General features: G+C 41.7%; 4 pseudogenes and 1 further gene; all 5 read right to left on the reverse strand.

Moving 5' to 3' along the window:
• IGH (immunoglobulin heavy locus) overlaps window positions 1–14,697 on the reverse strand; it is a 1,293,408-nt gene that overhangs the window by 1,053,405 nt on the left and 225,306 nt on the right.
• Window positions 3,289–3,744, reverse strand: IGHV3-62 (immunoglobulin heavy variable 3-62 (pseudogene); annotated as a pseudogene). The gene is given in 2 exon segments: window positions 3,289–3,595; window positions 3,699–3,744. Coding segments are annotated over 2 exon segments (353 nt in total).
• On the reverse strand, window positions 10,675–10,947 carry IGHVII-62-1 (immunoglobulin heavy variable (II)-62-1 (pseudogene); annotated as a pseudogene). Its single transcript is given in 1 exon segment — window positions 10,675–10,947. A coding segment is annotated over 1 exon segment (273 nt).
• On the reverse strand, window positions 12,372–12,839 carry IGHV3-63 (immunoglobulin heavy variable 3-63 (pseudogene); annotated as a pseudogene). Its single transcript is given in 2 exon segments — window positions 12,372–12,690; window positions 12,794–12,839. Coding segments are annotated over 2 exon segments (365 nt in total).
• GOLGA4P3 (golgin A4 pseudogene 3) lies at window positions 13,625–14,541 on the reverse strand (annotated as a pseudogene).

The raw sequence follows: 14,697 nt of genomic DNA on the forward strand, positions 1-14,697 counted from the left end.
AGGACCTGGTCTGGGAGATGAGTGTGATCATGGATCAAGGACAGATTTTGGAATATGGTCAATATTGTTCTACCCTTGAAGATTCATATAAATTGTCATCTAAATTGTCATTTACTACTTCAGACACATTGAAACAGCAGCTGAATGTAATAATGACAGTGACTTCAAACAATCCTGGATCCATCCAATGTTTATTGTAGTTCAGAACATCCACCATGGTTATAGGGAAGCTCCCTGTCCCTGGAAGTGGGTCATTTTTTAAAAGCACCTGAGAGCTGTCCTTCTGTGTCCTTTTGAAATCTGGGATTCTGTCTGAGATCTCAGGAGAAGGTAGTGGGACATATCTACATCCTTCTCAATGTGTGACCGTGAAGATATGTCCTGGCCTCTAAACACTTCTGATTGAAAATATGTAGATTGGGGATTGCAGTGAGAACTTCAGACAAAAACTCTATAACAGGTCAGCACTGGAGGATAGTCTCATGAAGATCATGAAGATTAGTGCGATTATCTTTCCTGGGAACCAGAGAGGAACTCTGTGACCCCTTCCCTCTGAGAACACAAGGAACTCTTGTCCTTCCCTGACAGGACACACTTGTGAAACATGGCTGGACAATGATACTCAAGCCCAGAGTCCTTACCCACATATTTATCATTTCAGATCCATCTGTCTCTGAAAGACTTTCTCCTCCATTGAATTGCATGAACATACCCTAGGATGTGTGGTATTGCAACTTGGGCATTTGACATTAGTTTGGTGAATTATATAATAAATAATCTATCTCCATGGATGTGGGTAACAGGAGAGTCATCAGAAGTTTGATGTGTTTTAAAATCAGGACAAACCTGGGCTTTCTTCTTAGGACCTGAACAACTGGGCTGACCTGTGTGACAACAGAGGGAAAGAGACAGACCCCACACCAGAGCCAGGTGAACTCCTTACCTACCAGATGGTTTCTGGGCATTTTGTTTGAACAGATCGAGAAGGAGCTTCCTCACCCTCAGGAGAATTATGAACATTGAGGGAAATTGATATAAATTTTTATTTACAGAGAATAATTCATAGGCTTGTGGACATCTATGTGGGTGTGCACAGAGTTGCTAAGATATGCTTATACACAGAACAGAAAGAATTATATTTCATGGAAAGAAAAGCAAAGAGCTTCTGAATTTGTAGGTATTGTTTGCCACAAATGTGTGAGATCACTAGATCATGTTATGATGGTGGAGGTAAAACTTCCCAACATTGTCATGGAGACAAAATGCAAAAGAGTAAAGATTCAAGTGAGATTCCTTTGAAAAATACCAGTAATGAACAGGCCAAAAAAATGAACCATTATCGACAGAGTGCTAAGAATTGGTGTTTGAGAACCTCTGCCTAGATTTCAGAAGATGTATGAAAACACCTGGATGTCCAGTCATAAGTTGGCTGCAGTGGTGGATCATTCATGGAGAACCTCTGCTAGGGCAAGGAGGAAAGGAAATATAGGGCCAGAGCTCCCACACAGAGTCCTTACTGGGGCACTGCCTAGTGGAGCTGTGAGAAGAGGGCTGCTATCCTCCAGACCCTGGAATGGTAGATCCACTGACAGTTTGCACTTTGTGCCTGGAAAATCCACAGACACTGAACACCAGCCTGTGAAAGCAGCCAGGAGGGAGGCTGTACCCTGCAAAGCCACAGGGGTGGAGCTGCCCAAGACCATCGGAACTCACCTATTGCATCAACATGTCCCGGATGTGAGAAGGGGAGTTACAGGTGATCATTGTGGAGCTCTATGATTTGACTGCCCTGCTGGATTTTGGACTTGCATGGGGCCTTTTTGTTATGGGCAATTTCTGTCATTTGTAATGGGTGTGTTTACCCAATGCTTGTAACTTGCTTCTGAATTTACAGGCTCATAAGGGGAAGGGACTTGCCTTGCCTCAGATGAAATGTTGTACTGTGGACTTCTGAGTTAATGATGAAATGAGTTTAGCCTTTGGGGAGCTGTTGGGAAGGCATGATTGGTTTTGAAATGTGAGGACATGAGATTTGGGAGGGAACCTGGGGTGGAATGATATGGGTCGGATGTGTCCTCACTCAAATCTCATTTTGATGTGTAGCTCCCATAATTCTCAATGTTGTGGGAGGGACCAGTGGGAGGTGACTGAGTTATGGGGGTTGTGTCTCTCCTGCACTGTTCTCTTAATAGTGAATGAGTCTCATGAGATCTGATGGTTTTAAAAAGGGGAGACCCAGCACAAGCTCTCTTCTCTTGTCTGCCGCCATGTCAGATGTGCCTTTCACCTTCCACCATGATTGTGAGGCCTTTCCAGCCACGTGGAACTGTAAGTCCAATAAAACTCTTTCTGTTGTAAGTTTCCCAGTCTCTGGTATGTCTTTATCAGCCACGTGAAAACAGACAAACACAGTCAGACGTGATCTACTCAAGGTCTCTTTATCAGCAGCGTGAAAACAAACACAGTCAGACGTGCTCTACTCAAGGCCTCTGCACATGGAGAAAAACCACGGAAAGTGGAAAATGCATTTTCTTGGTTTGATGAAAAATACCTGTAGAAAACACAACCCTGTGCCAGGACATCATGCAGAATTCAGAAATATTGGAATTGGAATAAATGTGAAAATTACAATCATTTGCAGCTGCACATTTGTTCATTTATCTTCAAATGAAATAAAGTAAAAGTAGGTGTTCTCTGTAAAAATCCACAAAGAGTGTGTTGACCTTGAGAATACACCCCTCTCTCAGCCTCTAAAGGTGAGAAAATGCACCTGGATCAGGTGTCAATCTGCTGCTTTGTGACGTCTGTGGTATGGCTTGTGCTGAAGCCCAGGTGCTGTGGTCAACTCTAATGGAAGGAAGGACTCTTCAATGGTTTTGAGGCAGAGACATTACTGGAGTCATCAGGGTCCCCTGTGGGGTATGTTCCTCGGGACAGTGATCAGTGAGATCAAGGCAGATCATTTCTGCCCCCAATGTGACACTCAGGCTTCTGCAGGGTGAGGATGTGTCCTCCTGTTACAAAAAAAAAAAAAAAGATACAAAGTTGAGGGGACATTTTGCAGCCAGAGACGACATCAAATGTTATTACAGAATTGGAAATCTAGAGAAGTTCTCTGGGGTAAGTTGCTAAAAAGGCAACCCTAGACCATGACAGGAAACCTAGGCTTATACCACCTGGACTTGCCCCTGGGGACAGCCCAGTATACAGTGTCCCAGGCTTTCCCTGGTTGTCCCAGGTACCCTGCAGGGAGGTTTGTGTCTGGGCTCACACTGACTTCTCACTGCGTCTTTCACACAGTAATACACAGCCATGTCGTCGGCTCTCAGGCTGTTCATTTGCAGATACAGTGAATTCTGGGCATTGTCTCTGGAGATGGTGAATCGGCCCTTCACAGAGTCTGTGTAGAGTACGGTATCACCACTTGTACTAATAACTGAGACCCACTACAAACCCTTTCTTGGAGCCTGGCGGACCCAGTGCATAGCAGAGCTACTGAAGGTGAATCCAGAGGCTGCACAGGAGAGTCTCAGGGACCCCCCAGGCTGGACCAAGCCTTCCCCAGACTCCACCAGCTGCACCTCACACTGGACACCTGCAAACACAAAGACACCAAGGTCAGAAACTGCCACACACATCCACTGTTTCTCTCACTCATGTCCACTCCCACTCAACATCTCTATTTATCTATGAATCACCTCTTAAAATAGCAACAAGGAAAACCCAGCTCAGCCCAAACTCCATGGTGAGTCCTCTGTGTTCAGTGCTGATCACGGAATGGAAACACCGCCGACTTCCAGTGCTGGGCTCCTCTCCCAGAGCTGCAGGGTCAGCTGGGCTGGTTTTCATCAGCAGAGGGAGGGCCCTATTCGCATGTCCCCCACTATATAGCAAGCTCTGTGGTGGGACATCTGAGGAGAGGCTGGGCTCAGGGCAGATGAAGTGTCCTGGGACAGATTGGAATAATTGTATCATTCAGGAAAATATAATTTTATATTATGTGCTTGTGCCTTGATTAATATTTAGCTCTCATAATCTTATTTTATTCTTACATATTTATACAATATGTTTAATGCAGGTTTCAATGTTACATTTTACAGGAGATAATTTACACAGAGAACACAGCAGTTGTGCAGTGTGTCTAAAATTACACATCTAAAAAAATTAGTCCTATTACCTGGGCCTGTGCTCTAACCACTGGAGGAGGCAGCTCCCCTGAGACAACTCCAGGGCAGCGTGGACCATGCCTAGTGAAGTCTGCAGGATTCCCCATCTGTTATGACAACTTTCTGTAATTTACCAAAATACGTAGAGTGAACCATGGTTCATGTGCATGTTTTCATAAGTCAGTCATATTCCTTGTGTTAACATCGATCTGTTTATTGCTCCATTTTAGTCAAATGTTATTTTATTGGTTTCTTCGTTATTGCTTTATTCAAGTGTAATTAATAAGTAATTAATTCAAATTTATAGTGAAGGATTTGAAAAATGTTGACCTATGTTTGCAGCCATTTGCTCAGCACTTCAATCAAGTTTTGAATAATTAAATTAATCCCTAAATCTTTCTTTTATTTCTCTGAAATTCAACTCACATCCACATTACTCCCAACAGCGTATTGTCAGACAAACTCAAATCTTCTCCGTGTTAATTTACAATAATGGCATCTTCTAAAATTCCTACAAATGTATCATATAAAATTTACTCTTAACTCCTTAGTTTCTTTCACTAAACAGAATTACTTGAGAATTTAGCCATGTTGTTTATATGAGTGAGGCATGCCTTGATTTCAAGCTGCGTTATGTTCCAGTACATAAATATATGCCAAACTATTTAATTGTTCACCTGTAACTAAATGTGATTTGTTCTCTCAGTTAATGGATTTGATAGAGAAAAGCAGCTACTAAAGCATGGGAATATAAAACGGAGCAAAGTATGGGCCGGGCGCGGGGGCTCACGCCTGTAATCCCAGCACTTTGGGAGGCCGAGGCGGGCGGATCACAAGGTCAGGAGATCGAGACCATCCTGGCTAACACGGTGAAACCCCGTCTCTACTAAAACTACAAAAAATTAGCCGGCCATGGTGGCGGGCGCCTGTAGTCCCAGCTACTCTGGAGGCTGAGGCAGGAGAATGGCGTGAACCCGGGAGGCGGAGCTTGCAGTGAGCTGAGATAGGGCCACTGCACTCCAGCCTGGGTGACAGAGCGAGACTCCGTCTCAAAAAATAAATAAATAAATAAATAAAAAGAGTAAAGTATTATCTTATTCTGACCTCATTAACAACAAACCTGAACAACCACACACAAAAAAACCTTCAACATATTTGAGTTTATATCAGAGAGAAAACAAACAATAAACAAAACCTGAAATCTGAGGAGAGAGGAGGCTGCAGAGAAGCAGGACCCATATATTAGTGTACCTGGGGCAGATACAACTGGATGGCATTTAAGATAGGAACAGGCTGGCTTGGAAATATTCAGCGAGTTGCGTGAGGATGCACGTGCTCATAGTGTTAGACTGTGAAACTCCTGGTGCTTGCAGGCTTTTCCTACAGAATTATTATTAATATTCTTGCTGCACTTTATGCAAATAATCAGGCCAAGTTTAAGACTAAAGTTTATTTTGCAAACAACTCAGTCTTACAATTACTTGATTCTGACAAAAACCAGAACTGGAAAGAGAAAAATTGTATTTCAAAACATATCATACGATCATCTTTAAATTCTAATCTCTTCAGTTGTTTAAGTATTTGCCTGCATTTTAGACTGACTGCTTATTCCTGAGCGCCAATCAATGATCTCTGGCTACAGCCCAGAAGAAACAAAAAGCGATGGGGAATATAAAAAAATCTGTATCAATATTTTAATTCTAAGCAATTATCCTTTAAATCATGCCAGGTGATGGGAATGAATAGGGTGCCCCTAACCTGGAGGTTTCTTTGTTTGGGAAAATAAATCCCAGGGAGCTGACAAAAGCCAAGCCTCATGCGCCCAAACCTTAGCAGGCATAACTACAGCCGCAGTTATCTGGGCATGTCAGCAGCCTTGGAATTTTCTTTCAAACTGTCCTTACCACCTTGACCACCTTGTTAGGTTTGGATACATGTCTTCTAATAATCTGATTTGCCTTTTCTCGTTTTCAGACCATCAAACTCCAAATGCTCATGCAACTGAAGCCTGGGATAATGGCTCCCTTTTCCTGGGGTCCCTTAGACAGGCCTCCAAGAGAGATCTTCCCCAAACAGCATCCCCCGTCAGCTGGAAGCAGTTAAGATTTGTCTTTGTCTCTATTCTAACGACAGTTAGATGTATTTCTTCAAAGAGGAAAATGATAGAGGTAGAAGGCAGAGAACTCTCCTAGGCAGGTAGGGAAGAGTCCCCATAGAATCTCCAATGCACCAAGGTCATTGTGCACAGGGGGTTGCCTAGACATGCCTGCAGTGAAAATTGTTAATGTTGTCTTTATCACTCTCGGAATAAATAACCACACATAATAATCCAGCTGCATGAAGATAAAAAATAACTAGTTTGAAATTAGAACAAGTTCCAATAAAGTCAAAGTTAGCATGTGGTTTATAACATGATAGGAGACATGGCTGAATACTAAGAATGTGTTCACATCTGTTTTATGTCATGATCAGGAAAATATTTTGTATATTCTCTATGTAAGAGTCCCATTGAGAGCATTGATGAACACTGATGGATAATACCTCAATAATAAAGTAAGGGTTATTAACTAGTAATTTGTATTAAGAGAACAAACTTTTATTTAGGATATATTATTATATGTGTTGTGAAATCAACTGAGAAGGCAGAAAACATTGAACTTATTAGAGCTTTTTAATAAATTAAAAATGAGAATTAAGTACATATGTTTCTAGATTGTGCATAACTTTGGAATGTTTTGTTTTCTTTTATTTTGAGATGGACTCTCGCTGTGTCTCTCAGGCTGGAGTGCAGTGGCACAATTTCGGCTCACTGCAACATCAGCCTCCAGGGTTCAAGCAATCCTCAAGCACCACCATGCCCGGCTAATTTTTGTATTTTTAGTAGAAAGGAGGTTTCACCATGTTGGCCAGGCTGGTCTCAAACTCCTGACCTGAAATGATCCCCCCCACCTCGGCCTCCCAAAGTGCTGGGTTTACAGGCATGAGCCACTGGCCTGGCCTGGAATATTTTTACAAACAGAGAGGGTTCTTATGTATTCTGGAAATCCTATCAAACTGGAAAACAAGGAAAGAAACTCTCAGATGAATTTCTACTTACTACAGAGCTGATTAATATCATTTTAAAGCCAACGCTAACACGCAGACAAAAAACTAACATGGAGCTAAAAAATAAAATATACAGTGATTCAATACAGCAAACACTGTAGCTCAATCTAGTTTATAATATTATCTAATCATGGAGGGCATTGTCTTTGTTCATACGAGACAGAGTCAATCCCACTCACAACCTTCTGGGAATGTTTAAAAAGTGGCATCTCTACATATTTTAATAAAATGTAAAACTCCCTTGGTCAAGGGTTCTTCCACTAGCACTATGGAATCATGGTCCAGTCCTCAGGGTACATCAGTTATTACCCTATGACTTGGTAGCTAAAAGGCCCATACGTTTATAGACTTTACCCCCAGAGATCATGTTTGCTCTATTGCATGCATGTGTTACAAAATACTGAAAGTGATTCCTGTGTGATATCCACTCTAACAATGAAGAGTTTAAGGCTGCCTTTTTACTACATATTTTCCACAATTCCCTGTGATCTTCAGCAAGGAAACTGGAAGGAACATCAGCGGAAAATACTGCTCGTGAATCACATAGGAAGGAACCTTATCAGATGCTTTTAACTAACTCACTGCAGAAAACATTCAGGCAGTTAATTATTGGCTTCATATTTTACAACTAAAGAATAAATTCAGGTCAGATGCAGTGGATCTTCCCTATAATCACACCACTTCCAGAAGCAAAGTGAGGGAAATCCTATGAGACCAGGCAATCGAAGCCAACCTGAGCAACATAAAGAGATGCTATTTCTATGAAAAAATGTTTAAAAAATAAGGAGGGTAGGGGTGGTGTGCCCATCTAGTTGTAGATACTCAGAAAGCTAAGATGGAAAGGTTGTGTGAGTCAGGAGCTCAAATTTAAGGTGAGCTATGATCACACAACTGTACTTTAAGCTGTGGAACAGTGTGAGAGCCTGTCCCTAAAAACAAACAAAAAATAATCAATTAAGAATTCCACACAACTGTAAAGCTACTCAAATAGGAGATGTTAAACTGAGCATCCTCATAGACCCTCTGGCGTTTCTGATGTTTTTAAGCAGATGGCTGACCTAAGACCTGCAGAATAAGCTGATAGTCCTTGATTGTGAAAAGCTTCTACCCAAGACATTAGACCAGGCCCCTGTTTAATTTTCCATCCACTTCTTATTTTTCTCATTATTCTTTGCTTACATTTCTAAAGTCATCTCATTTCTGCAGATCTGGGTGTTGTCCACCCATACTGAACCCTTGTCTTCTTTCTTATTCATTATTTTTATTCCTGCTGCATGGAATAAGTTGTCACTCTATCTTTTGGTGCATGACTGCTGATTACTTAAGGCTCACTCCTCCATCGTCTCCTTTTTTGCCACACAAGATGAATCTAGTTCAGACTCACAGGAGCTTCTTCATTTGATGCCAGTGGGAGTTTCAAACCCTATAAACCCCCATCTGTGAGTGGGAAGCTTCACTTTGCCCCCACCACTAAACCATTATAAAAACCCTGAGCCAGTCTCCTTTGGTTTTCTTTCAAGCCATTTTAGATTTTCCTGGGAGACCTGCCCTGCACTCAGCAGACACCTCTACAGTGTAGATAATGAACTTTTCCCTATTCACTTGCTCTGAGTGTGTGACTTCATTAGACACAACATACACACTAAATCTCACTTGAGATCTCTTGGCTTTGCATGGTGTCAACTACAACTGATAATATGAACTTGGTGTCACTGTTTCTATCAACAGGACACACTGGATCCCTGAAACAACTCCAGGACAGAACTGGACATGTGATATAGATTGGTTTTGTGCCCCACCTAAATATCATCTCAAATTCTAATCCCCACATGTCAAGGGAGGGACCAGGTGAGAGGTGATTGGATCATGGGGGCAGTTTCCCCATGTTGTTCTCATGATAGTGAGTGAGTTCTAACAACCGCTGATGGTTTAAAAGTATGTGTCACTTCCCCTCCTCTATCTCTCTCCTGCTGGGCTGTGAGACGTGCCTTGCTTCCTCTTCACCTTCCACCATGATTGTAAGTTTCCTGTGGCCTCCCCAGCCATGCAGAACTGTGAGCCAACTATACCTCTTTTCCTTGTAAACTACCCAGTCTCAAGTAGTTTTTTATACCAGTGTGAAAATGAACTAATACAACATGCCTGGTGGGTTTGATAAACTTTCTTAGTGATGTAAAATTATGCCATTATTTTGCTGTATTCTAGTGCTTCTCTAAAAATACAGAGATGTCCAGTGCTCATTCATGTGTATATTCAGGATTCTCTGACTTTTCATGTATTTTATTTATCTTTAATTCCTTTGATACCAATTTATACCTGTTCTAATTAATACTATCTTTAATGGGGCTAAACTAAAAACAATAATCTCCACATGAAGTGTTCAATTTTGCAAATATTGTCATAGACATTATCACTATCAACATAGATAACAAGTCAATTCCCTCAACATTTTATCTTGTTCCATAATTCCTCCTTCCTAGACCATCCCTTCTCCTACAATATTCACAGTGAACTACTGATTTTTTTTTTGCAACTTTAGATTACTTTTTGTTCTATAGAACTTATGAAAGTTGTATCCTATGTATGCACTTTTATCACTTGGGCTCATTTTACTCATCTGAAGTACTTGTGAATTTAACCATGCTTTTGAGCATAGCCAACATTAGCTGATGGTAGTAGTGGGTAGTATGTCAATGAATGACTTTTCCACAATGTGTTTACCAGTTAAGCTGATGATTGACATTTGGGTTGTTTTTCATTCTGGGTATTATGAACAAAGATGCTACTCAGCTTAGAGAAGTACACAGCTGGGAAACAGATGGTTTTTATTGCTACAACAGCATAAACAATGAAGCTGCAAAACACATTAATCAGGTTTATTGAATACATCAGGTAATAAAAGTTATAGATTTATGTGTGTTGTGGGGTGGGTGTATGTAAATTTCTGTGTGAGAGAGAGAGAAGAAGGGAGGACGGAAGGCAGAAAAAGACACACCTAGCTATGGTTATATATTTATATCAATATCATTTTCTAATCATACAAACACATGCATTAGAACAGATGTAGTGGAGGGTGTCTGGTGGTGAAACATGATGGTGACACAAAACGCCTCATCCAGCCCCTTTTCACACCAGCTGCACCTGCCCTGAAGCTGAGCCTTGAACCTGTTCTTTCTGAATCCCCACAATTGTCCTGAGCCCCTCGCTGTACCGAGCACCCTTTGGTGTCCTGATTTTCCTCCATGGTTCCTGAGAGCCCCCGGCTACCTGCGTGCCTCTACAATGGTCTTGAGTGCCCCTTGGTGTCCTGAGAGCCCCCTGGGCTCCGGAGTAACCCCTTCTGTCCTATGCATCCCCACAGGGAGGTTTTGGTGTGAGTTCACACTGTGATTCCCTCACTGTGTCTTTTGCTTAAAAATATATGGCTATGTGATTGTTGCTCATGTAGCTCAGCTGTAGGAAGAACTGTTTTTGGACATGGATCTGGGGATGGTGACTGGACTCTTGAGGAAAGGGGAGTAATGTGTGCTCCCTTCATGACCTATGCACCCAATCCACTCCATTCCCTCCCAGAGAGGGGCTGATGGATGCAGCTCCAGGAGGAAGCACTGGTTGTGATGGAGAATGCAGAGATGACACACATGAGGGAGAGGGTCTGTGAGGGCTTCACCAGGCCAAGAGTGCACCGAGAAACACAGTTGTTGGCAGGCACACGTTCTGGACAATATGTTGAAATTCCCAACTACATACATTTCTGTGAGAATAAAGAGCTCACCTGTGTTCGATCCGTGAGTATCCCAGAGTAATGCAGTGGATTCTGATGTTGGATTCAGACAAATATAGGGTCACATGTTTCTCCATACTTGGAACCAAGTAATAAAGAGAAACTTATGTCAGGAGAATAGCCATTGAACTATCTCTCTTTATGGTGATTTTCAGAATAGGATTCAGATGTGATAACTTAAAGAGTGTCCTAATTCTTAACCCACAATTAGGCCTGAGAAGCAGTCACAGGCACTGGAGGTCGCCCACATGGAGAAATGTCTGACTCACTGAAGCTGCACCTGGGGGTCTCTGCAGGCTCTGAATTGTACAGGAACAGCTCCTCCCCTAGACTCAGAGTGAGGACAATCTCTGCTCTTTCTCTAGGGGAGGTGAGGGTTAGTGTGTGGAAAGAACCCAACTTATTTTCAACAAGATCTCTGTACTTGGGCAAAAAGAAAGAATATGAGAAAAAATGATTTCAGTTTAAACAGAACAATTTCTCATGTGGAAGGCAAAAATATGTTTGGATCTTGCACAGAATTAAGAAACAATGAATTTGGGGTAAAGTTGAAAATTACAATTTCTTTGCAGATTCTGTTTTTAGTTATCTATGTCATCTGAGAAAATGAAGTAAAATCAGGGTTTTTATATAAAAATTCACAAAGAGGGTGCTGGGCCTGAGAATGCACCTCAAATCCCTCCAACATCAGGGAGCCCAATAGACCAGGCAGCCAGCTGCTGTACTGCACTCTAACACCCGCCACCTGGTGTGTGCCAAAGACACTCATCCTGGGAGCTCCTCCCAGACAATGGCTGTGCACAGTGGAGATACTGAGGCAAGGCTGCTGCTGGGACACATGGGAGATTCCTGATGGACTACTGTGCTCTGGAAGGCACCAATGGCCTTGCTGGACTTAGCTCGGACCACAGGATAGGTAGGAAGCTCCACTGAATGCCCACTACTCTCCAGTGCTAGTTGTGAGACTGGCATTGCGGGGTGGCAGTGTCTACAGCCTCACCTGGCCGCCTGTGCACTTTTGTGCCTCTAATACTTACTTTTGTTTTTGGGACATATAAGAATGTTTCCTCTTTTAAATTAAAGTTTTGTAATCCAGGGACCTCATGGTGGGCACAGAAACATAAAAGTGCAGAGGATTCGAGGGGAACTGCTACATGCAGAGGAAAGCACAGATCCTGAAGGACAGCAGCCCTTGACTGCTTTTCTGTACCTGCCCTGGGGCTCCACCTGTTTTGTGAGTGCTGAGTGTCCCCTTCGGCCCAGAATCCTTTCTTCTTTCTGCAGGAAATTTTGTGTCTGGACTCACACCGATGTTTCCTCACTTGGAACCTTATGTACAGCCATGCATGGTCATGTCCTCAGCTCTCAGACTGTTCGTTTGCAGATACGGTGAGTTCTTAGCATTGTCTTTGGAGATGGTGAATCTGCCCTTCACAGAGTCTGCATGGTATATCTGACTTCCATCATATTTTACATCTATTACTCCCTCCAGCCCCTTCCCTAGAGTCTCATTGACCCAGCTCATTCAGTAGCTACTGAAGGTGAATCCAGAGGCTACACAGGAGAGTCTCAGGAACTTCCCAAGTTGTCTCAGGCCCTCTATGGACTCTATCAGCTCCACCTCACACTGAACACCTGAAAATACACAAACGTCCTGGTCAGAAACTGCCAAACACATCTACTGTTTTTCTCACTTATATCCACTCACTCTCACTCACTCTATTTCTCTATGAGTCACCTTTTAAAATAGCAACAAGAAAAATTCTGGTTAGCTCAAACCCCATAGTGAGCTCTGTGTTCAGCCCTGATTACCACATGGAAACCCCTGGGAATCCCAGTGCTGTGGCTCTTCTCCCAGAGCTGCAGGGCCAGGTCTGGGCTTGTTTTCACCAGTAGAGGGAGGGCCCTGTTTTCATGCCTCCTCCTCTATAGCAAGCTCCAGTGTGGGATGCCTGAGAAGAAGGCAGTGCCCAGAGCAGATGTGAGACTCCCGGAGGAGCATAATTGAACAAGTGGAACTAGATTAACAAAAAAAGATTCTGCAAAGCAACGAAATAATTCCAACTCACAGAATTGGATAATATACCATGTATCTGGAGGAGTTAGTGGCAATGACAGCATTTGGGAAAATATGATTATTCATAACGTGATTGTGCCATGAAACTCACTAAGCAATTATTATTTTATTTTACTTTTTACACAGTACAAATACAAATATAAATGCATTAAGCAAACTTTAAGATATATATATAGAGAGAAATAGAAAACTATATAAAAATAAGGGAAAACCTTAATACCTCACTTAGAATAATGTATAGCAAATCCAGAAAGAAAATTCTTAATAAGCCTCTGAACTTGAACAACAGTATTGAACAAATTTACCTGAAAGACATTTACAGAACCTTCCAACCAAGAGCCATGTAATACACATCCTTCTCAAGCACCCATTGAACATTCTCCATGATAGGTTATATGTTACATCATAAAATTAGTCTTAACATTTAAAGAATTAATGCTAATGCTTCTCTAACTCTTTCAAAAATTGGTGAGGAGTCCACCTTCCAAACTCTTTTTTTATATATAGTAAATAAACTTTATCTGTTTCTCAGAGATGACACTGCCAACAGTCACAGATTTGCATACAATACTGTTAGGTATTGGGTATTTACAATTTACAGTATTTTTTTTCCTCTGAAAAATATAAGCACAAAAGCTAAGTAAACAATGACGTACTGCCATTTGGAATTTATTACATGCCATAGTGTAAAGAACTGGTCTCTAACAAATATTCAACAAACCAACCTGAATAAAATAGTCGGTTAGGGATTTAGTACATGGCACAGCTTAAAGAACTGGCCTTTAGCAAATATTCAACAAATCAACCTTAATACAATAGTCAATTAAGTGATTTATTATTTCTAATTCATTAGAAAAAATCCACTAAGTCTCACCTCAAAATGTATTGCACAATCTTTATGAAAAAAATCACCCTAAAAATAATTAGGAAAGGTAAGCAGTTCTTTAAAAAGAATGGAAGAAAGGAATATTATGTAAGCCCATTAAGCAGGTTAAGTTATTCAGAATATCTTTTAAACAACATAAAACTCTTCCCTTGGGAGGCCGAGGCGGGCGGATCACGAGGTCAGGAGATCGAGACCATTCTGGCTAACACGGTGAAACCCCATCTCTACTAAAAATACAAAAAGTTAGCCAGGCGTGGTGGCAGGCGCCTGTAGTCCCAGCTACTTGGGGGCTGAGGCAGGAGAATGGCATGAACCCAGGAGGCGGAGCTTGCAGTGAGCCGAGATTCTGCCACTGCACTCCAGCCTGGGCAACAGAGCGAGATTCTGTCTCAAAAAACAAACAAAACAAAACAAAAAAACAAAAAACAAACAAACAAACAAAACTCTTCCCAACAGAAAACTGAAGAAAAAAACTATCACCGTTTCTCCACTGATAAAATCTATTTTAAAGGTAGTCTGCAACACACCTTCCAAACTCTTTCTATGAGGCTACCGTTAGAGTACTACCAGTAATAGACAAAGGCACCACAATAAAAGAAAATCATAGACCAATATCATTAGTAGACATAAATTAACCCCCCAACAATAGTAAAATAAATTCTAAAGATTTTATAGAAGA

This window comes from Homo sapiens, chromosome 14 (genome assembly GCF_000001405.40).
Source record: "Homo sapiens chromosome 14, GRCh38.p14 Primary Assembly".
NCBI classification, from domain to species: domain Eukaryota; kingdom Metazoa; phylum Chordata; class Mammalia; order Primates; family Hominidae; genus Homo; species Homo sapiens.